At 55.1% G+C, this 22,765-nt stretch overlaps 2 protein-coding genes and 1 non-coding gene across 41 annotated transcripts, besides 3 other annotated features; all 3 read right to left on the bottom strand.

The window, feature by feature from the left end:
* Nucleotides 468-22,666, bottom strand: MAN1B1 (mannosidase alpha class 1B member 1). 4 transcript variants are annotated; one of them, NR_045721.2, is made up of 14 exons: nt 22,433-22,666; nt 21,468-21,576; nt 21,253-21,383; nt 20,646-20,782; nt 13,260-13,414; nt 11,714-11,823; nt 9,770-9,955; nt 8,498-8,646; nt 7,979-8,167; nt 3,336-3,526; nt 2,842-2,962; nt 2,204-2,401; nt 1,989-2,120; nt 468-1,263 (listed from the first exon to the last, which is right to left on the bottom strand). NR_045721.2 is itself a non-coding variant. In NM_016219.5 (13 exons), exons 1-13 carry the CDS (start codon nt 22,649-22,651, stop codon nt 1,060-1,062), a joined length of 2,100 nt encoding a protein of 699 aa, NP_057303.2. In that variant the 5' UTR covers nt 22,652-22,666; the 3' UTR covers nt 468-1,059. The 4 variants fall into 4 exon arrangements, 2 of the variants coding, with proteins under 2 accessions (NP_057303.2, XP_006717008.1); NR_045720.2 differs by lacking the exon at nt 21,253-21,383 and having other exon boundaries at nt 2,204-2,376; NM_016219.5 differs by lacking the exon at nt 21,253-21,383.
* On the bottom strand, nt 4,675-7,972 carry LOC124902313 (uncharacterized). 36 transcript variants are annotated; one of them, XM_047424353.1, is made up of 5 exons: nt 7,739-7,972; nt 6,720-7,544; nt 6,557-6,639; nt 6,017-6,441; nt 4,675-5,979 (listed from the first exon to the last, which is right to left on the bottom strand). In XM_047424353.1, exons 1-5 carry the CDS (start codon nt 7,892-7,894, stop codon nt 5,441-5,443), a joined length of 2,028 nt encoding a protein of 675 aa, XP_047280309.1. In that variant the 5' UTR covers nt 7,895-7,972; the 3' UTR covers nt 4,675-5,440. The 36 variants fall into 36 exon arrangements, 35 of the variants coding, with proteins under 35 accessions (XP_047280309.1, XP_047280306.1, XP_047280326.1 ...); XM_047424350.1 differs by having other exon boundaries at nt 4,675-5,822; nt 5,900-5,979; nt 6,557-7,972; XM_047424370.1 differs by having other exon boundaries at nt 6,017-6,791; nt 6,834-6,875; nt 7,617-7,972.
* Nucleotides 13,534-13,663: an enhancer, noted in NCBI's record as "active region_29344". NCBI's record gives its function as "activates an Ori minimal core promoter by ATAC-STARR-seq in GM12878 lymphoblastoid cells {active_cell/tissue: GM12878}" and the evidence as "EXISTENCE:reporter gene assay evidence [ECO:0000049][PMID:35858748]".
* Nucleotides 15,221-15,306, bottom strand: LOC124902338 (small nucleolar RNA SNORD62). Its single transcript, XR_007061912.1, has one exon. It is a non-coding gene; the product is annotated as a small nucleolar RNA SNORD62 (small nucleolar RNA).
* Nucleotides 22,303-22,532: a silencer, noted in NCBI's record as "silent region_20579". NCBI's record gives its function as "represses an Ori minimal core promoter by ATAC-STARR-seq in GM12878 lymphoblastoid cells {active_cell/tissue: GM12878}" and the evidence as "EXISTENCE:reporter gene assay evidence [ECO:0000049][PMID:35858748]".
* Nucleotides 22,513-22,742: an enhancer, noted in NCBI's record as "active region_29343". NCBI's record gives its function as "activates an Ori minimal core promoter by ATAC-STARR-seq in GM12878 lymphoblastoid cells {active_cell/tissue: GM12878}" and the evidence as "EXISTENCE:reporter gene assay evidence [ECO:0000049][PMID:35858748]".

The following is a 22,765-nucleotide window of genomic DNA, read 5'->3' as shown; positions in this document are numbered from 1 at the left end:
GGGGAGAGCGAGGGGGCGTGGTCCTAAGAGGTCACCTGGTTCAGGGTCGGGGGGAACCCAGCCAAGGCCCAGGGTCAGCCCTGGGATAGGGACAGCAGTAGAGTGATGATGAGGACAACTCTGCCACCACAGCCCAGGGCTCGGGGCCATAGCCATGCCAGGCTGCTGGGAGCTGCCTGACCTGAGGGCCCGTGTATCCCTCAGCTGTGCGCCTCAGTGCCAGCCCTGCAGGGAAACAGGCCCTGTGTGAAACGCAGGCGCAAGGATGCCTCCCGCCAAGCATCTGCCCCGTGGGGCCAGGGACACGGAGCTTCCCCGTGGCCTCTCCCTGCCCACCAGCAGGGGACAGCTAGAGTCCAGTCTCAGCAAACCGAATTCTGAGACGTGACTTGAAGAATACCTTCTCCCCAACGTCCGCCCAGACTTTCCAGTCATGGAGATCCCTAAAGACACAGGCGACATCGCGGTTAGAGCAAATCAACTTTTATCTCCACCGAAAAGACCCATTCCACTGGAGGGGCCCGTGAGCTAGACGGACTTGCCGTCCAGCCCTCCAAGCCCCCTGCGGGGCGGCCAGGAGGATCCCTGAGTCCAGCTTGTAAACACCAGAGCCAGCCCTGGAGCCTCAGGCCTCTGGAGTCACGGCAGCCCCTCCAGACCCTTGGATTGGGGACATCTGAGGCTTCACGAGCCCGGGCAGAGCTGCACCCTGGGCTGTCCACTCGGTCACCCCAGTACCAGGGACCACCTCGAAGCCCCCCTCTGGTCGGCCCACAGAGACCTGCTCAGGCTTCAGCAATCGTGAGTCATGATTCGTGTCTTCTGGAGGAAGCAGGCGGAGGCTCCAGCGGCCCAGCCCACCCCGCATCACACCAAGACTGACGGCCTCACTTGTCCTCACGGTGTCCTGATTAAAGCAGAGACGAGGAGGAGCCCAGAGCCAGTTCAGAGCCTGGGCCACTTGGCGGTTGCCGGTGCTACGTGGGCCCTTGGAAAATGCCACAGACCCAGCAAGGTGCCTCTGCCCACCCGAAGTCCCCACACCAGCAGCCATCCACCCTAGGCAGGGGTCCAGATAGGCAGAGGGTGGGCTTCGGTGTTGAACACGTAGGCATCCAGGCTGAGCAGGTTTGGGTCATCGGAGAAGAGCAAGAACAGATACTTGAGCGTCTCCCCCAGGAAGAAGCTCTCCATCTTGTCCCTAGGCTCGGGCTTCTGAGGATCCTGGACATTGTTGATGGAAGAATAGCCACCCGAGGGGACCTGTGCAGCAGCCAGGGCCTCGTCACCACACGGGGGGCACCCTGCACCCCCCTCAGCCTCATCACCGAAGCGCTCTCCACCCCATGGTGAATGTGGCCCCCAGCGCAAGCTCAGGGTGGAGGGCGCCTGGATGATGGCCACCCCCAGGCGAGCCGTGTGGTTCCACCGGAGCCCACCTGGAAATGCCAACAACCCTCAAGTGACCACGACAGAAACCGCCTCCCCCAGAACCTGGGCTCAGGGGGCCTCACAGTTGCCGCACAGGGCACAGGGCACAGGGCAGACGGTGGGAGCGGAGGCAGCGGGGGCCTCAGGCCAAGATCACAGCAGAGCCAGGAAGTGACACTCTGGCGTGGAGGGCGTGACCTAAAACAGGGCCTGGTCCACAGTGGGGATGGTGCCCCAGTCATGGGTGCGTGTGCCTCCTAAACTGGGGGGATGCTGGGCCCACAGCAGAGACCCTCCCTAGACAGGCCCTGAGAAATGAAAATGAGGGGTGCCCAGCCCCTCCAAGTACTCTGGGTCCCACAACCATGAAGCTCAGTGGGGATGGGGATGCCAGGGCCCCCAAGCTGCAGTGTGGCCACCCCGAGGCTGCGGCAAGCCCGCCCCTCCCGGATCCAGGTCACAGCCACCACCAAGAGCGGAGCCAGCCTGAGCCCCACAGCCCAGCCGTGCCTGTGGCCCGGTGGCCGTGACCACGCGGGGCGAGGACAGGTGCTCACCCGTGTGAATCGGCTGAAGCTCTGCAGAATCTCCCAGCCCCAGTCCTGGTATTTGCGGTCCCCTGTGACGCGGTACAGGTAGAACAGGCTCTCCACGGTCTCTGGCCGCAGCAGGTTGTGCCTGTCTGCTGGCTGTGGGCGGAGCAGAGCTCAGGGCAAGGCCAGCCCTGCCAGCACCCTCCTCCTGATGGACCCTGACCCAGGCCCAGGCCCACCTTGACCTCCACGTCCCGACGGCCCGGCTGGGGGTAAAGGTTGAAGTGCACGATCTCGGGACTCAGCCCCGTCTCCATCTGCCGGTTCATCTGGTAACAAGTCTCCATGAGCTCCTGGGCCAGCTCCATGTGGCTGGCGGGCAGGCCGTGGTAGACGCCCAGAGCCAGCGTCCCTGGCAGGAAGCACACCAGGTGGTCCTGGAATCAGAGGGTCTCTTCAGCCCCAGATCCCAGGCCCTGCCCTCAGCCTGCAGCTGCACGGGCAGCCAACGTGGGAGCCCAGCGCTGCCTCGGCCCTGGTACCCTGGGAGGGGAGGCCACGCGAGGGCACTTGGCATGGAACAGCGGAGCTGCCTGGACCAGGCCCTCCAACCCGGCCCCCACACACCGCCCGAGGACCTGCTACACACCGGGCACGGGGAGGGAGCTGCCCTGGGGAAGCCCTGCCCACCCCAGGTGCCACACAAGGCCTTACTGCCCTGTTGCCAAGACAGGCCTGGCCAGGCAGCCACGGTCCACCCAGGGCCTCCACGTGGGCGCCATGGCCAGGATTTCGTTCTTTTTGACATCATGACTCAGGCACCTTGGAAGCCAAGGTAAAAGGGGCGGCGGCCGGAAGGCCCCGCAGACACACTCACCATCTTGGCACTGAAGCGGCCGTGGGCAAGCTCCCCCACAAAGGTGAGCTTACTGGGCTCGGAGTGCCGCAGCAGGTGCGTTCTGACACCCTCGATGGCTTCCACGTAGTCTTCCAGCAGCCTGTGGACACCAGCAGTCATCTCACTCTACCAGGACGGTGCATCGGCTCCCGTGGGGCACCAGGGACAGGCACATCCTGGGCCCACACAAGTACAGCAGGCCTGGCCCTTGCCGGACAGAAGGTGCCACCCTGCACAGCCCATGGCCCTCAGTGAAGATGCCCCCCTCACCCCCCCAGAGGCCACGGTGAGAGGTGAATGAATACGCCCTCCACATAAATGCCTGGGCCAGGCCTGGCACGGCTGCGGTTTCCTGACACACAGTGTGGCGGGGGGCAGCAGGAGCGGGGGCCGTGGGAGCTGGGGGCAGCAGGAGTGGGGGGCTGCGGGAACGGGGGAGCCGCGGGAGCTGGGGGCAGCGGGCCGGGCCTCACTGTGTCTCCTGCTTCCCGCCCTGGATCCACTGCTTCAGCAGGTACTCATAGTAGCTGTCGGCCCTGGCGCCCAGCGTGAATACGCCCAGGTGGGTGAAGAGGCCACTGTGGGTATTGATGAACATGGGCACCAGCCCATCCTTCTTCCCAGACAGGCCGTGGATGTGCTGTGTCACCTTCTCCACTGCCTCCTGCGGCAGAAAGGGGGATGGTGGGTTTACTGGCCAGGGCCGAGCTGCAGGGTGAGCTGTAGAGGGGCTCTGTGAGCTCTGCCTCCCCTCGCCCCAGCACCGACTGACTCCCAGCAGAGAGAGCTCTGTGCCCAGCCCACAGCTGTCCTTGCCCACATGGCTCCTGGTGGCCGTACCACACAGCCACACAGCCACCAGTGCAACGCACCTGAATGTCACTGCTCCCAACGGGTGGTCACCACAGAGCTGACCCATCTTCAGGATGGCTCTCATCCCTTACTCGAAGGGACAGCATCTGACAACCACAGGCACTGTCCTCACGAGAGCCCACCAGGCCTGGCCGTCAGCCATGGCTCTGGAGGGACGGCAAGTGTGCCTGCCTTCTGAGCCCAGTGTTGCTCCTGATGATATTAAACGCCTCGGCTCCACGCCCTCCTGGTGAGCTCCTACTCATCCTCCAAGTCACAGCCACCCTCAGCTCCTCAGGGCTTACGCCCAGCTGGCAGCACCAGGCGTCCTGGCCCACAGAGGGGCACAGGGTACCGGGATGTTAGGGCACGCCCAGCAAGGGCGCTCCGGGTCTCTACCCAACGCAGACACCCAAACCCATGCCCAGCACCTTCGAGGCCTGGCTGCCTATCCCTGTGTACCGGCAGCAACCAGAGGCCCTGGTGACATGGGGGTGCCCATGGGGGCCTGGGGCCATTTTCTGAGCTGCAGTGAAAACGCCTTCTAAATGTCTGCATGGGAGCCTCACGTGGATGGCGTGTGGGAGCCTCACGTGGATGGTGTGGGCTGCACTTCTCACCACAAGTGGTCACAGTTGCTCTAAAGAGGGCTGTGTCCAGCTCATGATTAAAAACAGGGACTCGAACATGAGGCCAAATACATGAGCAACAATAAACTGACCAGCTGTGCTTCATGAAAATGACAATCTGTTATCTATCAAAATACACCATTAACAAAGTAAAAAGAGGCCGGGCACAGTGGCTCACACCTGTAATCCCAGCACTTTGGGAGGCCAGTGGGTGGATCACCTGAGGTCAGTTCCAGACCATCCTGGCCAACATGGCAAAACCCCATCTCTACTAAAAATACAAAAAAATAACGGGGTGTGGTGGTGGGTGTGGTCCCAGCTACTCGGGAGGCTGAGGCAGGAGAATCGCTTGAACCCGGGAGGTGGAGGTTGCAGTGAGCCGAGATCGCGCCACAGCCTCAGGCAGGTGTGTGCACCCACACTCACAACACCCAAAACACAGCCTCAGGCAGGTGTGTGCACCCACACTCACAACACCCAAAACACAGCCTCAGGCAGGTGTGTGCACCCGCACTCACAACAAAGCAGAGCCTCAGGCAGGTGTGTGCACCCACACTCACAACGGCCAAAACACAGCCTCAGGCAGGCGTGTGCACCCGCGCTTACAGCAACCAAAACAGCACAGTCCTGGTGTCCACCAGAGGAGAGAGGATTAAACAAAAAGTGGCCTAGCCACGCAGCAGATATTCAGCCTGAAAAAGGAATCTCTGAAGCATCTTTCGCGTATGAAGCTTAAAGACGCTGAGTGAAAGGAGCCCAAATAAAAGGATAAATCAGCCGGGTGTGGTAGCTCACGCCTGTCATCCCAGCACTGTGGGAGGCCCAGGCGGGTGGATCACGAGGTCAGGAGTTTGAGACCAGTCTGGCCAACTTGGTGAAACCCTGTCTCTAATAAAAACACAAAAATTAGCTGGGCGTGGTGGCAGGCGCCTGTAATCCCAGCTACTTGGGAGGCTGAGGCAGGAGAATCACTTGAACCTGGGAGTGGAGGTTGCAGTGAGCTGAGATCACGCCACTGCACTCCAGCCTGAGTGACAGAATGAGACTCTGTCTCAACAAACGAAAACAAAAAAAGGACAAATCGTGTGTGACTGCACTCACACGAGGAACTCCACACAATGAGGTCCAGGAAGAAAAACCTGAACAGTGTTTTTCAGGGACTGGGGAGGGACATGAAGGGTCACTGTGTGATGGGAGAGCTTCAGTTTTAAGATGAAAAGGGCTCTGGAGATGGAAGTGATAGCTGCACAACAGCATGAATGTGTGTAACACCACTGACCTGTACTCCTGCAACAGCGTGAATGTAACACCACCGACCTGCATGCCTGCAACAGCATGAATGTGCAACACCACCGACCTGCACGCCTGCAACAGCATGAATGTGTAACACTACCGACCTGCATGCCTGCAACAGCATGAATGTGTGTAACACCACTGACCTGCACGCCTGCAAGTGTGAATGTGTGTAACACCACCGACCTGCAAGCCTGCAACAGTGTGAATGTGTGTAACACCAACCTGCACACCTGCAACAGTGTGAATGTAACACCACCGACCTGCACGCCTGCAACAGCATGTGTGTAACACCACGGACCTGCACGCCTGCAACAGTGTGAATGTGTGTAACACCACCGACCTGCACGCCTGCAAGTGTGAATGTGTGTAACACCGACCTGCACGCCTGCAACAGCATGAATGTGTGTAACACCACCGACCCGCACGCCTGCAAGTGTGAATGTGTGTAACACCAACCTGCACGCCTGCAACAGCGTGAATGTAACACCACCGGCCTGCACGCCTGCAATAGCGTGAATGTGTGTACCACTGACCTGCACGCCTGCAACAGCGTTGTGTGTAACACCACCGACCTGCATGCCTGCACCAGCGTGAATGTAACACCACCGACCTGCACGCCTGCAACAGCATGAATGTAACACCACTGACCTGCACGTCTGCAACAGCGTGAAAATGTGTAACACCACCGACCTGCACGCCTGCAACAGCATGAATGTACCACCGACCTGCACGCCTGCAACAGCATGTGTGTAACACCGACCTGCACGCCTGCAACACCATGAATGTGTGTAACACCACCGACCTGCACGCCTGCAACAGTGTGAATGTGTGTACCACCGACCTGCACGCCTGCAACAGTGTGAATGTAACACCACCGACCTGCACGCCTGCAACAGCATGTGTGTAACACCACCGACCTGCACGCCTGCAAGTGTGAATGTGTGTAACACCAACCTGCACGCCTGCAACAGTGTGAATGTAACACCACCGACCTGCACGCCTGCAACAGTATGAATGTAAGACCACCGACCTGCACGCCTGCAAAAGCGTGAATGTGTGTAACACCACCGACCTGCATGCCTGCAACAGCGTGAATGTGTGTAACACCACTGACCTGCACGCCTGCAACAGCATGAATGTAACACCACCGACCTGCACGCCTGCAACAGTGTGAATGTGTGTAACACCACCGACCTGCACGCCTGCAACAGCATGAATGTGTGTAACACCACCGACCTGCACGCCTGCAAGTGTGAATGTAACACCACCGACCTGCACGCCTGCAACAGCATGAATGTGTGTAACAGCACCGACCTGCATGTCTGCAACAGTGTGAATGTGTGTAACACCACCGACCTGCACGCCAGCAACAGCGTGAATGTAACACCACCGACCTGCACGCTTGCAACAGCGTGAATGTAACAGCACCGACCTGCACATCTGCAACAGCGTGAATGTGTGTAACACCACCGACCTGCACGCCTGCAACAGCGTGAATGTGTGTAACACTGACCTGCACGCCTGCAACAGAATGAATGTGTGTAACACCACCGACCTGCACGCCTGCAACAGTGTGAATGTAACACCACCAACCTGCACGCCTGCAACAGCGTGTGTAACAGCACTGACCTGCACGTCTGCAACAGCGTGAATGTAACACCACCGACCTGCACGCCTGCAACAGCGTGAATGTGTAACACCACCGACCTGCACGCCTGCAACAGTGAATGTGTGTAACACCACCGACCTATACTCCTGCAACAGCATGAATGTGTGTACCACCACCGACCTGCACACCTGCAACAGCACGTGTAACACCACCGACCTGTACTCCTGCAACAGCAGGAATGTGTGTAACAGCACCGACCTGCACGCCTGCAACAGCGTGAATGTAACACCACCGACCTGCACGCCTGCAACAGCATGTAACACCACCGACCTGTACTCCTGCAACAGCATGTGTGTAACAGCACCAACCTGCACGCCTGCAACAGCATGAATGTGTGTAACACCACCGACCTGTACTCCTGCAACAGCATGTGTGTAACACCACTGACCTGTACGCCTGCAACAGCCCAAATGTGTGTAACACCACCGACCTGCACGCCTGCAACAGTGTGAATGTGTGTAACACCACCGACCTGCACGCCTGCAACAGCGTGAATGTAACACCACCGACCACGCCTGGAAATGGTTAAGGTGGTGCGTTTTGTGTGTTTTATCACAGTAAAAAACCTGAAAACACACATGCACATACACACACACACACAGTACCTGCTGTGATGAGCAAAAGGTAGCTCCAGGGGAGGCGCATCCAGCCAGAAAGCCTGCCCCCTTACCTGAAACTTCTTATCCCCTGTGAGACGGGAGAGCTCCCGGAACTCCAGCTGAATGCTGGTCACCTCGGCCACAGTGCTGTCGGAGGTCCACCGTGGCGGGTGGGCAACTCCAGTACCGATGTTCACATCCGAGTAAGGAATCTTGGATGGTGTTCTGAAGGCAGGCATTAGCCGATTTCCAAAATCCTCCTGGTATATGAGCAGAGTAGAGAACCAACGTTCAGGTCACCCAGAGGCCTCGTCTACACCCTTTCATGCAGTTCAGTGGAGACACTGAAGGCTCTCTGGGGTCAACACAGCAGCAAGGAAACGGGCATCACTCTGCACTGAGTGAATGTCTCTACAAGGCCAGTGGTGATCAAAGTGGCTTCATCAGCTCACGAATATGAGCTCAGAAACAGACTCCAGTGCATTTGAAGAGGAAACAGGAAGACAGTCACGTCCCCACAAGTCCACTAAAGGGGTAACTGCTTGAATGCGAGTCCACCATCTCCCTGCAGGACACCCCAAGACACTTACAGCTTTCCTCAGGAAGAGGCTGTCCCCAGACAGGTGGTAGGCACTCAGGAGCCCCCCCAGGATGCGGATCGTGCTCTCAAACAGGTTGACGTCCACGTCCTTTTCAAAGTGTAACTTCTTCGACACCCACTTCCTGGCTTCCTCAAATTCTATGACATAAAACAGTAAAGGATGCAGAGACAAATGGATGGCTCCAACGTTTTCCTATTATCTATCCATCTTCAAAATACATTTGGCTGGGCGTGGTGGCTCATGCCTGTAATCCCAGCACTTTGGGAGGCTGAGGCAAGTGGATTGCTTGAGCCCAGGAGTTAGAGACCAGCCTGGACAACATGGGAAAACCCCATCTCTACTAAAAACACAAAAATTAGCTGAGTATGGTGGCGCATGCCTGTGGTCCCAACTACTGGGGAGGGTGAGGCATGAGAATAGCTTGAACCCGGGAGGCGAAGGCTGCAGTGAACTGAGATCGTGCCACTGCACTCCAGCCTGGGCCACACCACTAGACTCTGTCTCCAAAAAACCCACGTTTGAAACCAGGAGGCCAAGGTTGCAATGAGCCGAGATTGCGCCATTGCACTCCAGCCCAGGAGACAGTGAAAGACTCCATCTCAAAAACAAAAAAACAAAAACAAAAAACCAAACCCATGTCTGGGGCGTTATCGTTCCCCTGCAGGGCTTCAATATCACCTCCTATCTCAAGGGGGTAAATCTTGAAGTCGTCAACATTTGTTAATAAAACGGAGTCAGCAGTGCAGTTGCTATGGCCACCAATGGGTCACAACCAAAGGCTACGACCCAAAAAAATTACACACGTCGTTTACTGGTGGTCTTCAACCTATTCAAAAAATTAGGCAAATGTTTAAATTATCGCTTAAATAACCGAAGACACATACTCCCAATTCAAAGTGGATGTGCTGGTCTATGAAGGATGCTGCTGAGATCTGGGACCAGCGGGGCCCCACAGTCACTCATCCCACCACCCCCAGCTGCAAGAGAAGCACAGCCTGGGAATGTCCCTTGGACGTCCCCCAAAGAGTCCACACTCAACTCCTGCAGAGGTCTGGGGACAGCGGCCCTGTGTGTGCCTTGGGTGGCTGGACAAGAACAGGAACTGACCACAGCCAACACGTCCACTCCCGCACCCAGGAGAAGGGAAAACCCATGGTCAGATGCAAACAGCAGCTTTCACCCCGTGTGCAACCCACACTCTGCCTCAGCACACGAGGCCCACACGGAGGGCTCAGCCCCTCCCCAGAAAGCACCAGGTACCTTTCCTCAGACCCAAGATCCACATGGTGTCCAGCGCGTCGATCAGTGTGAGACCGAGGCCAAACCACTCACTGAAGGACCTGGACACAGGCTTCAGCTCGTCATGGCCCCATGCAAACTTGCGGTATCCTTTCCATGCATGCAGGAAGACGTCAATCACGCCCTTCTGGCGATAGTTCAGATGCACTAGTAGGGGGGAGAGAGCACAGGCCATGGCGGACGTGGTCCTGGCGTCGGCACAGATGGACACCCTCAGGCAGAGCACTGCTGTGACCCCCATGGGGCAAAGATGACGGTGGGTTTGGGACGACGGGAAGGGCGGTGGTGGGCACAGCAAAGGCCAGGGCCACAGAGGCTGCAGCAGCCCCCAGGGAGAACACAGCCTGCCAAGGGCCTGAGACCTCTGGAGACTGCACAGGATGGCACCTGTCACCCGACCACCTGACTGGGGCCCATGCACCTCCACCTGGCGCCTGGGCAGGCACACCCTCCTTGGGCCTCGGTGGCCTCTGGCCAAAGGGACAAGGGTGGCTGCCCCAAGGGCGCTGGGACAGCACAGTGAGCACAGCCTGTGGAGACGTGGGTGAGTGTGGTGCCAACTCAGAATGTGAAACACGGACGGGTGCAGACCTCGCGATGAACATCCTCGACTCAAACACGCTCCTTCTGCCACGTGGGCTTCAGGTGCTCCACGGGAATCGCACTGTGCACACGCGCTACAGTCCCTTCGTTCCCTTTTTTTAAATTTTTTTGGCTGGGCACGGTGGCTCCCGCCTGTAATCCCAGTACTCTGGGAGGCCGAGGTGGGCAGATCACCTGAGGTCAGAAGTTTGAGACCAGCCTCGCCAACATCGCGAAACCCCGTCTCTACTAAAAATACAAAAATTAGCCAGGTGTGGTGGCGGGTGCCTATAATCCCAGCTACTAGGGAGGCTGAGGCAGGAGACTTGCTTGAACCCAGAAGGCAGACGTTGCAGTGAAGTGACAAAGCAAGACTCTGTCTCAAATATACACATATATATAAATTTCTTTTTTTTTTGTAGAGATGGGGCCTCACTGTGTTGTCCAGGCTGGTCTTGAACTCCTGGACTCAAGAGATCCTTCTACCTCAGCCTCCCAAAGTGCTGGGATTACAAGTGTGAGCCACCACGCCCGGCCAACATTGACTAATGTGTGGATTGACACGTGTGTAACGGCACCAAACCACACGTCCTCTCAGGAAAGGTTCTGAGGCCTCCTTGTGCTCATGGCATGTCTATGCCTCTGCCTCTGCCTCTGCCCTCATTGATGCCGCAGAGATTGCTACACATCCCTCACAGGCCCGGGGCTGGGAGTCCTGGCTCTGGGCTCCCTCCCCACCTCAGAGACACCTGGGGGGCATGATGAGAGCAGGGCTCCAGACTCAGCGACCTGCCATGAGCCCCCACAGACAAGCAAACGACTCTGGGGGTGGCTGTCCTCAGCCCTGCTTTTCAGTCTGGAGAACGGGAGGGTGAGTGGCTTATCGTGTCAGAGGGTGTCATGAGGTTGAAAGAGGCCTCAGGTCATGCACTGAGCTTGGCCGAAGGCCCGCACCTGGGAGGCCCCCAACAAACGGTGCTGAGAATGAAGTGGCCCCCAGAGCTGCCTGGGACTGGCCAGGCCGAGACAGGGGACACAGCACGGGCAGCAGTCTCCAGGGATCCCGTGGGGCAGCCTGGCCCAGACACAAACCTCTCAGACACACCTTCTTCTGCAGCCATGTGCTCAGGGACAGCAGGCCAAGAGCCACATGGTGTCACCAAGGTTGCAGAGCCTGTGAGGACTCAGACAACAGGGGGATGCTGAAGGGCAAGGTGCACACCAGGGCGGGGGCGCCACCCACCATGGCTGAGACGAAGCCTGCACCCATCAGCCACCAGCCCCTGAGCGCCCGGGGAGGAAGGGGTGCAGGTGTGGCCTCACCTGGTGTGCCCTGTGTCCTGGCCGGTGGCAGGGGAGGCTTGGTGGGCACTTCTGCTCTTCTTGAAGGGAGCTCGGTGCCCTGCTCAGGCTCGATCACCGCTCCCCTCCAGCTTCGGGGGAGAAGGAAGGGTGTCAGCTGCCGTCAAACATTTGTGGCTCCATGTTTCCCACCCCCACGCTCCATACCCACGGCCAAGGCACAGCCCTGCACCCAAAGCGGCCCCATCATCCTGAGGTGCAGGCTGCTGAGTGGCAGGAAACACACAGTTCAGTCCTGAGCTCCCGTGCCTGAGAGCCAAGACCACAGCACTGCTCCAGGGTCAAGGCTGGCCTGAGGTCAGAGACCAGAGCTTGGAGAATCGTGAGAAATCCCTCTGCAGAGGCCGGAGGCGGGGGGCCTCTATGGTGGAGGAGTAGAGAATCTTTCATCCAAACAGGAGCACTAGTGACAGTGAGGTGGCCCCAAGATGCCAGGATGGCCACACAGACGGGGGCTGTCCCTACACACGAGACGCATGGCCACTCAAACTCCCCATCGAGTTCTGTCCAATGGCCATCAGGAACAGCTATGAGGTTGTGTAGAGGGTTTGCCGCGCAACCTCCTAACTGTGGCTGGGCCCGAGCGTTCTCTTGGGGCCCTGTGGTGAATCTGTCCCAGGATCAGCAAAAGGCCTCTTACAACCACAGATGGCTTACATGCTGGGAGTACAAACGTGGCACTTTTGACAAGCTGAGGTCAAATCCTCTTTTGCTCTGGAAGTAAAGCGTCCTTGCATTCATGCCAACGCTAACTAGAGCACAGTGGCCCTCAAATTCTCCTCCTGGCCGTGAGGACCCCTCACATGCACATGTCCACGCCTCTCACCACGCGCTTGAGTTCAGGGCCTCTGGGCCCGTTTCTTCGGAGCCCATCTCTCACGGCGGACAGCGCTTGTCTCAGGCCACTCCTGCACAGCAGCCCTCACTGGCCCTGGCTCTGCCCACACTTTGTAGAAGAGAGAGGACGTCTGCGGGGAACCCTTCCTTCCGCCTCAACCACAATCAACTCCGTTTCTAAGAGCGTAACATGGAGCCGGAAACGAGGCAGAGACGCCTCCAGCACCGAAGCTCCACTGGGATCCACTACCTGGACTTGACGAACCGGGCAGAGGACAGCACTCTGGGAGCCTGGGCACCGGGCAACTCCCTCTCCCTCTGCTCTCTGCTCGACCAGATGGGGCTCGGGAAAGGAGGTGGCCCAGGCAGCCAGCGTCCACCTCTGAGCCTGGCTCCCCATCCCCACGCACCTGTGCACCCTTCACACGCACACAAAACATTCTGAAATGTTACTGCATACCATGAGGACATTATCGGGGACCTAATTTAGCTCTGACCTCCAGTTTTAAAAATTCGATTCTGTAATCTAAGGTTAATGAGGACAGATTACAGAGCATACACTGTCAGTTTCAAAGGAAAATAGATCTCAGACACAATGCGTTTCCGCAATCTTGTTTTTCGGAACATCAAGCCCTGAGCGGCGGCGTGCAGCCTGCCCTGCGCTCTGTACCTGATGACTGTCCTCTGCGGATCTCCTTCCGGGCGGGGATCCACAGGGGCTTCTTGCCTTTTTGTGGCCTCCTCCTGGGTCCCATCCTTCAGGTCTTGGCTTGGGGGTCTAATCTGCAGGTGAGGTGGTCCCCGCTGGATGTGTCTTTGTGTCTTCTGTAGAGAAATTGGTCACACAGGAAATCACGGGGTGTCTGCGAGCTGCCCTTCTTTCCCTCTATGGGACGCCCTCAGGTGCAGCCCACACCTCACAGACTGAGCTTCTGACCTCTGACTAAATTACTTTCGTTTTTCAATACGACAGGCAGCTTCAGAAGACAGCTCCTTAGGAGCCTGGGGACACTGCCGACTGGCTAAACGGCCCCAGACAAAACGCTTAAGCCCCTCCCACGGTGGGAATATTTCCAAACTCTCACAGGTCCTAAAGCGTTAATAACAAAGGGCTGCAGTAAACACCAGCTCCAGCAACACCTCTGGGTCCCCAGGCCTCCCGCACAGTCATCTGCAAAGTGAGGCAGGCACCCACATCCTCACTACAAAGCACAAAGCTTCCGATGACATATGGAGCTGGGTTCCCCTTGCCAGGCGCCCCCTGCTGTGTGATGCGGGCCTTCTAGCCAGCCCCCACCACCCTGTTCCCTGTTTCCACACCTGCAGGCACAGAGCCCCGTCCTCTGCTCCCTTCCCCACGTGAACAGGAGCGTGGGAAAGCTGCAGACCGTGTCACGGACTGAGGCTTAGGTCCTCCTACGTGAGTCTAGAGGCAAATCCATTCTCTCCTATGGCCTCAGTTTTCTGTGGTATTACCAAACCTTAATTTTTATTATTATTATTACTATAGAGACAGGGTCTCCTTATGTTGCCCAGGCTGGTCTTAAACTCCTGGCCTCACGAATTCCTCCTGCCTTGGCTTCCCAAAGTGCTGGGATGACAGGTTGCAGCCAACATGCCCGGCACAAGCCATAATTTTGTACTTCTTTACTGATGGATATTTAGATTGCTCCACTTTTTTTTTTTTTAAAAAAGGAAAGAATGCTTACTTATGGCTGGGCACGGTGGCTCACGTCTGTAATCCCAGCACTTTGGGAGGCAGGTGGATCACCTGAGGTCAGGAGTTCAAGACCAACCTGGGCAACATGGTGAAACACCATCTCTACTAAAATTACGAACAATTAGCCAGGCGTGGTGGCGCACGCCTGTAATCCCAGTCAGAGTCTTGTTTTGTCACCCAGGCCGGAGTGCAATGGTGCAATCTTGGCTCACTGCAACCTCCACCTCCTGGGTTCAAACGATTCTCCTGCCTCAGCCTCCCAAGTAGCTGGGATTACAGGCGCGTGTCACCACACCTGGCTAATTTTTGTATCTTTAGTAGAAATGGGGTTTTACCATGTTTGCCAGGCTGGTCTCGAACTCCTGACCTCAGGTGATCTACCCACCTCAGCCTCCCAAAGTGCTGGGATTACAGGCATGAGCCACCATGCCCAGCCTGTTTTTTTTGTTTGTTTGTTTTTTGAGACAGAGTTTTACTCTTGTTGCCCAGGCAGGAGTGCAGTGGCGTGATCTTGGCTCACTGCAACCTCTGCCTCCTGGGTTCAAGTGATTCTCCTGCCTCAGACTCCTGAGTAGCTGGGATTACAGGCGCCCGCCACCACTCCAGGTTAATTTTTTGTATTGTTAGTAGAGACAGGATTTCACCATGTTGGCCAGGCTGGTTTTGAACTCCTGGTCTCAAGCAATCCACCCGTCTCAGCCTCCCAAAGCGCTGGGATTACAGGCATGAGCCACTATGCCTGGCCCCAGCCTGTTTTTTTTTTTAATAGAGATGGGGTCTCACTATGTTGCTCAGGCTGGTCTCGAACTCCTGCATTCAAGCAATCTGCCTGCCTCGGCCTCTCAAAGTGCTGGGATGACAGATGTGAGCCACTAGTTCCACTGTGTTTCTCTAGTCTCTTCTCCACCAGGTCATGCAATCACTGTCCTCTTCATCTCCCTGCTATTGAGTCCACAGTGGAAGGTCGGAACAAACTATTAGAATTATGTCACTAAGATCACCTAGTCTTAAAAATCACCGTTACGAGGGTCAGGTGCAGTGGCTCACATCTGTAATCCTAGCACTTTGGGAGGCCGAGGCAGGAGGATCACCTGAGCCCAGGAGTTCCAGACCAGCCTGGGTAACAAAGTGAGACCCCACCTCTACAAAAAATCAAAAAGTTAGCCGGGCGTGGTGGCACATCCCTGTAATCCCAGCTACTTGGGAGGCTGAGGCAGGAGAATCACTTGAACCCGAGACGTGGAGGTTGCAGTGAGTGGAGATTGTGCCACTGCACTCCAGCCTGGGCAACAGAGTGAGACTCTGTCTCAAAAAAAAAAAAAATCACCATGGGTTCAATGATCACAGTTTTATGATCTTGTAGGGAAGTTCATCTGAGTTTTACTCCCAAATTTTCTTTCCATATGAATTTTAAAATCATCTTTAAAAACAGAGGTTGGAATTTTGATAGGGAGTCAATGGATTTACAGATGAATTTAGGGAGAACTTAAATCTTTTCTCTTTTTTTTGAGACAGAGTCTTGCTCTGTCGCCCAGGCTGGAGTGCAGTGGCGCGATCTCGGCTCACTGCAACCTCCGCCTCCCAGGTTCACGCCATTCTCCTGCCTCAGCCTCCCGAGTAGCTGGGACTATAGGTGCCTGCCACCACGCCCGGCTAATTTTGTTTTTGTATTTTTAGTAGAGACGGGGTTTCACTGTGTTAGCCAGGATGGTCTCAATCTCCTGACCTTGTGATCCACCCGCTTCAGCCTCCCAAAGTGTTGGGATTACAGGCGTGAGCCACTGCTTAAATCTTCACAGCAGAAGAATAAAATGTCTACTTATTTAGGTCTTTTCAAATACCTTGAGTGTTGTACTTTTATTTATACTGACTTTATATATTTTAGTATCAGGATTACTCCTACGGACTTGGTGGCATTCTTTTCTTGTGATTGTGATGGAGATCACTTTTCTTTTCTTTTTCGAGACTGAGTCTCACTATCACCCAGGCTGGAATGCAGTGGTGCGAACTCCGCTTGCTGCAGCCTCCACCTCCCAGTTCAGGCCTCAGCCTGCTGAGTAGCTGGGATTACAGGTGCGCACCACCACGCCTGGCTAATTTGTGTATTTTTAGTAGAGATGGGGTTTCACCATGTTGGCCAGGCTGGTCTCAAACTCCTGACCTCAAACCTCAAGTGATCCGCCTGCCTCGGCCTCCCAAAGTGCTGGGACTACAGGTGTGAGCCACTGCAACCTCCTGAGATCTCTTTTCAATAACATTTTCTAATTGATTACTGCTACTATATAGCAAAGTTCTCTAAAACTAATTTCTAAGCCGGATGAAGTCATAAGAAGCATACTTGGTAAAGGATGAAATATTCTAACTCACAACAGTCATACTAATAATAAAGGGAATACCAATAATAAAGGAAAATATAAAAGTCCTAAGACTCATCAAAGGACACGGACAGCTTCCGGGATGGGAGCACATAGGGCCGTTCATCACCTCTCCCCTCCTGTAAGTGTCCCTGCTTCTAGGCAAGACACACAAGCATCCACGAAAAGCAGGCGCCAGTTTCTGACTGTTGCATTGGAAACATTGCCGACACGAGAATGCCCAGTGCTGCCATGGCACCACTGACTGCTACTCTCAGCACCGTAGCAGGGGAAGCAAATTCGGGAATAGTTTGTCATGATACACGTCATAGGACATCAAAATCTTCACAACCTTTAACTCTTAATAGTTTACGTACAACGGATGTAATGGGGACATTTACAAATGAAGAAAGAATCAACAGATAAATGATTTAGAAAATGATGGTTTATCCAAGCAATGGAGAAGAGCTATAAAAATCTGTATGAAAGGGAATATTCTCATGTGCATAAAAAAAGAAACAGGGACCAATCCAGCCCCTAACCCTCAATTACGTACACACGTGTGTATCCAAATACCAATCCAGCCCCTAACCCTCAATGATGTATACATGTGTTTATCCAAATAAAATTATTATTATTATTTTTTGAGACAGGGTCTCCCTGTCATCCAGGCTGGATCATAGCTCACTGTAGCCTCAACCTCCCTGGCTTAAGCGATCCTCCCACCTCAGCCTCCCAGGTAGCTGGGACTATAGGCATGTCGTGCCTGGCTAATTTTTTTTTTTTTTGGTAGAGATGGTGGTCTCACCGTGTTACCCAGACTGGGCGTAAGCAATCTGCCTGCCTTGGCCTCTGAAAGTGCTGGGATTACAGGTGTGAGCCACCATACCCAGCCACATAAATTGAAAGACATATACCAAGTGTTTCAAGAGTTGGACTGGGAACAGGGGTAATGTGTGGCTGTGTATTCCCCTTTATACCTTCTCAATGTTCCCATTTTCTCTCCTAAGCCCCTATAACATTTGAAATCAGACAGGTGTGGTGTCTTATGCCTGTGATCCCAGCATTTCAGGAGACTGAGGCAGGAGGATCACTTCAGCTCAGGAGTTGGAGACCAGTCTGGGCAACATAGTGAGACCTCATCTCTATTAAATAATTTTAAGGCCGGGCGTGGTGGCTCACGCCTGTAATCCCAGCACTTTGGGAGGCTGAGGCGGGCAGATCACGAGGTCAGGTGATCAAGACCATCCTGGCTAACACGGTGAAACCCCGTCTCTACTAAAAATACAAAAAATTAGCCGGGCGTGGTGGCGGGCACCTGTAGTCCTAGCTACTCAGGAGGCCAAGGCAGGAGAATGGCATGAACCCGGGAGGTGGAGCTTGCAGTGACCTGAGATTGCGCTACTGCACTGCAGCCTGGGAAACAGAGGAAGACTCTGTCTCAAAAAAAAAAAAAAAAAAAAAAATATAAAACAAAAAAATTTGAACTCAACCAAAGTAAAACGTTAACAGAAAGGGATCTGGCCTAAACACAGCCTCATCCCTAACCAGGTCTAGACAAGTGCCAGGGTCTGAACAGGAGAGGCAGTGCAAGTGATCCCTGGAGGGCAGGATGTCTCCAAGTCAATGCTTGAGAAAGACAGAAATATTCACCATCCACCACCCCAGCTGCTCCTGGACACTAGGTGCTGGCTTATGGGTCACTTGTGAGTGGTGGAAACACATCTTTCAATGGAAAAAATACCACAGTCTGCTCTCAGGCAGTTACGATACTCCATATGCAAAGGAGACGAAGGACCAAAGAAGGAAAGGAAGCACCTGTCGGCTTTCCAGTCAGGAAAATTCAATTTGTAGACAAAGACCTTGGTCAAAGGCAGAAATCCTCACACCGAAGAGTGTGGAGCAGTGGCCCCATGGCCAATCAAGAGCAGGACTCTCCCATCAGGCACGGCACCTTCTAGGGGCCAATTCCCACCCTACACCCTCTGCCCGGCTAGACCACCCTTGGAGAAGCTGCTCAGCGACAGGAATGCTGCCTTTGAAAGGAGAATGTGGGTTTGCTTCCTTCTGCTTTTTGGTACTGTCCATCCCCTCTCTATTGAGCTTATAGAAATTTTAAAAGGACACATTTTCTTGTTAAAGAAATCAAAGGGCCGGGCATGGTGGCTCATGTCTGTAATCCCAGCACTTTGGGGGGCTGAGGTGGGCAGATCAAGAGGTCAGGAGTTCGAGACCAGCCTGACCAACATAGTGAAACACGTCTCTATTAAAAATACAAACGTTAGCTGTGCGTGGTGTCGGGCGCCTGTAATCCCAGCTACTCGGGAAGCTGAGGCAGGAGAATCACTTGAACCCGGGAGGCGGAGGTTGCAGTGAGCTGAGATCACACCACTGCACTCCAGCCTGGGCGACAGAGTGAGATTCCGCCTCGAAAAAAAAAAAAATCAAAACACCCCCACGGCAGTCTGAGGGTGGCCCAAGCTCATGGGGGCCAATGCCCCAATGCCCCTCTTGCTGAGATCCTTAGCCAGTGGGCAGCAGCCTGCCTCCAGCTCCCCAGCCCAGGAGCTGTTCCTCGGCAGGTTACCACTCCCAAGGCCACTGTTAGAAAGCGCTGTCTGTCCCTGTCACAGCCCTGCAGGGAAGTCCACCTGGCGCTGAGGACTCTGGCCACAGGTGAAGCTCCCAAGGCACTCCCACACCTGCTAGACACAATCACAGATGTACCAACAACAGTAACTAACACCCTAAGGGCCTTCTAAGGGTTCCGAGCAGCCACACCAGAGTCAGCACCACCCTGGTGTTCTCAACGGTGTCGGGGATTTGGCTGTTCTTCCTGAACCAAACCTTCACTGACAGGACGTTTTCCTGGTTCTCCAGCTGCCTCCTGACCCATCCCCAGTCTCCACTCCCCCTGCCCTCCTCCCTGACCCCAATCTTCTCAGCCTGGTGGTGCCCAGGACTAGGCCTGGCCCCTTCTTCCAACGTTTCCAGAGGACACAAACCACCTATACCTAGGGACTCCTAAAACCTGTCTCCCCTGGCAGACTCTGATCCTGGCACCACCTGCCCACCAAGGTCTCCATGGCGCCTCCCAGACATCTCACAGTGGGCAGATCCAAAACGGAGCTCCTCAGTGTCCCCAAGCCAGAGCCTGCACAGCCTTTGCTGGCCCCTCCACCCGGGGACTCACCCTCCTTCTCCCAAGGCCCACTCCTGCGGAGCACTCCTCCCCCCACTCAGCTTTTCCCACGGCCAGGCAGCTCTCCTGGCCTCCTGCCCTCCACTGTGTCTCCACCCAGCCAGAGCAGTTTCACAGTAAACATCTCAGACCTCCAGTCCACGCCAAAATCTTCCCGCATACATCAACTGGACCCTCCATGCTGCCTCCAGGACCTGCAGGACCACAGCTGGACTGAGCCAACCCCTGCTCCCTCTCCCAGCCCTGGGAATTTCACCTTCCCGCATATGCCAAGGTCCTCCTTGCCTCAGGCAGTTTCACTCAGGCTCAAGTCTGCCTCTCCCCACCTTGCCCGGTGCCAGCAGCTTCTCAGCCCTCAGATCTTGCCCTCAGTGCCACGGCCTCCCCTGAACCCTCAGGACCAGCCACTGTTCTTCACCAGCGCCCTGCTCTTTTCCACATAGGATGTACACCATGTGCCATCTGCCTCTGCCCATCTGTGCCTGGCTTCTCACCAGCCTCTCCTACCAGCTGTGGCCTCTTGAGAGGAAACAGGTCTGTCTTATTCAACACTGCACAGTCAGAAGTAAAACCGGAACTGGCCATGGCTGGTCTTCAAAAAGAATGAAGCAAAGACTACGCCTCTCTTTCCCCAAGTATTATCCGACCAGTCCAAAACGAGAGAGAGGTAAACACGTGGTAATAAATGGTAAAGGAAAATAATTCTTCTCAATCTTCAGTGGTTTGAAATGCCTCTGGATTGAACCCCAGTTATAACCCCACACCATTTGCTCAAAGTACCTGTGACGAAATCTCAGGTAAGTTCTCAGGGTCGGTGTCCGCCTTCTGAGGAGCTGGTAAGACGGGTGGATTTGCTGGTTTTAACCCAGCAATTTCTGGCCTCATCTTCTGCTCTTCCTCTAGCCTGAAAGCCAGAGCTGAATAACAGAAGCTATTTTATTTCAAATATGCCACAAGGCCTACAAGAGATTTAAACTGCTTTATAAAAACACTTGGCAGGCACTATCCATTACAAATCAACATTATGATACCTGATAGTCACTGAAATGAATTCAACAATGTCCCAAGGGAATGAAATCTTTTTCAAAACACTTGGCAGTTTGTGTCCTTGTCCATAACACAGAACCCCACATCTTTTGCCTTCCTATTTTCCATTCAGGGACGTTCAGCATGTGGCAGGTGGGCAGGAGCCCTTTAGCTTTGCTCCAAAGAGAAGCATCTTAGACCAAGTGAGAAGAGATTCTCCACATCCTCACCAGAACTCTGCCTGGTCTTTTCCAAACACACGCTAATGAGTGCTACGAAATTTGTGTGGTTATTTAGGCTGAGTGTTCAAGCCCACCAGCTGACTTACTCTATAAGGGAGGCTGGACATATCAGTACTTACACCAGAGACCTAGAAAGTAGTCAGACAGCATCAAATTAACATCTGTGTTCTAGCCAGGTGGTTACATACAGCTCTACCTTTCTCTTTATCTTGATTTCTTGCCAATTCGTTGCCATATATGCCTCCTGGAGCTGTTTAAGGTAGAATGCAAGATTGCTTCTGCCCAATCAACCCTCAACACAGATATCGTTTTCAAGTACACGTGTTTCTGATACCTTTCCAATGGTCAGCCAAGTTGATGTAGAAGAGGAGTCCACAGAAAAGCAGAAAGGCAAGGAGGAAGAGAATCATATTCCGCTGCAATCTCGACAGTTGCTTCCATTTCTAAGGGAGGTACAGAGAATGACATTTCTTACTGAATATATCACACGGAACGTCTCAACTGTCACAAACTGTGAGGACAATAAGGAATTCTTCTGGAAGATCCAGTGTTCAGCTCTATTTCTTTTTTTTTTTGGAAACAGGGTCTCATTCTGTTACACCTAGGCTGGAGTGTAGTGGGTGGAACGCGGGATGAGCCACCGTGCCCGGCCAGCTCTATTTATTTTGAATGGGGAGAAGTTCCCTCTCAGCAGGGAGTAGGAACATTGCTGGGACAATACTACAGATGTCGTTAATACAGTGGTGCAGATGAGACGAGGATAAGAAAAAAGCAGAAACATTTCTGTCACATTTCATCAACAGTGGAGAAAGACTCCTGCGACTCCCACAGATGTAGCCCAGGCACCGCCCAGGCGATGCACAGTCCGCATGTGGTTATCAATGCCCTTCGGCCTGAGACCACCACGAACAGACCAGGAGCCAATCAAGAGGGGCTCATTTCTCACTGTACCGAGGGGAGCATACACCACGGGGAACCTCCGGTTTCCGCTCCAAGAGGGGCAGGCGCCTGGGCCAGGACCTTGCAGAAAAGCGAACGAAGCCCAGAAAACCTGCTGGGGCTCTGAGCCCTCTTCCCACCACCGCCCCGCAGAATTTGGGCCGCTGAGACCGCTGCAGGCGAGCCGCCCACGGCTGCCCCAACCAGGAACGCACATTTGCCCCTTTTTGCGGGGAAGGGGTGGAGAGGGCGGCGCCTGGGGAGTCGAGTCCGCCCGCCCAGGTCCCGCTCGGAGCCGCAGTCTGGGAGGGCGGCGGGCACGGCAGCCCCGGGCCCCAGTCAGCCCGGCGCGACCCTCACCCTCCAGCACGAGCGCCGCCGCCAACTCTTGCTGTTGTCATAGTTCTCGCCAAAGCTCAGCGTCACCGAGATGAAGTCCCGATGAGGCGGCGGCGGCGGCGGTGGGTACATGACTACAGTGGTGGCGACGGCCCAAGGGGCCCCGCCCACTGGCGGCGTCAGGAAGTCCGACTGAGAGGAACCGAGAGCTCCGCTTCTCCTGCCCTCGCAGGCAGCCATCGCAGCGCCGTCAACAGCCCGCCCATCACACGGATACGCGACTGCGCGTGCGCTGCGTCTCTATGCGGCCAGTGCGCCCGCGCCTGTCTCCGCTGCGCTCCAGCGTACGGGGCT

This window comes from Homo sapiens, chromosome 9 (genome assembly GCF_000001405.40).
Source record: "Homo sapiens chromosome 9, GRCh38.p14 Primary Assembly".
NCBI classification, from domain to species: domain Eukaryota; kingdom Metazoa; phylum Chordata; class Mammalia; order Primates; family Hominidae; genus Homo; species Homo sapiens.
Note: the sequence above shows the minus strand (reverse complement) of the source record. Positions and strands in the feature narration are given on the sequence as shown.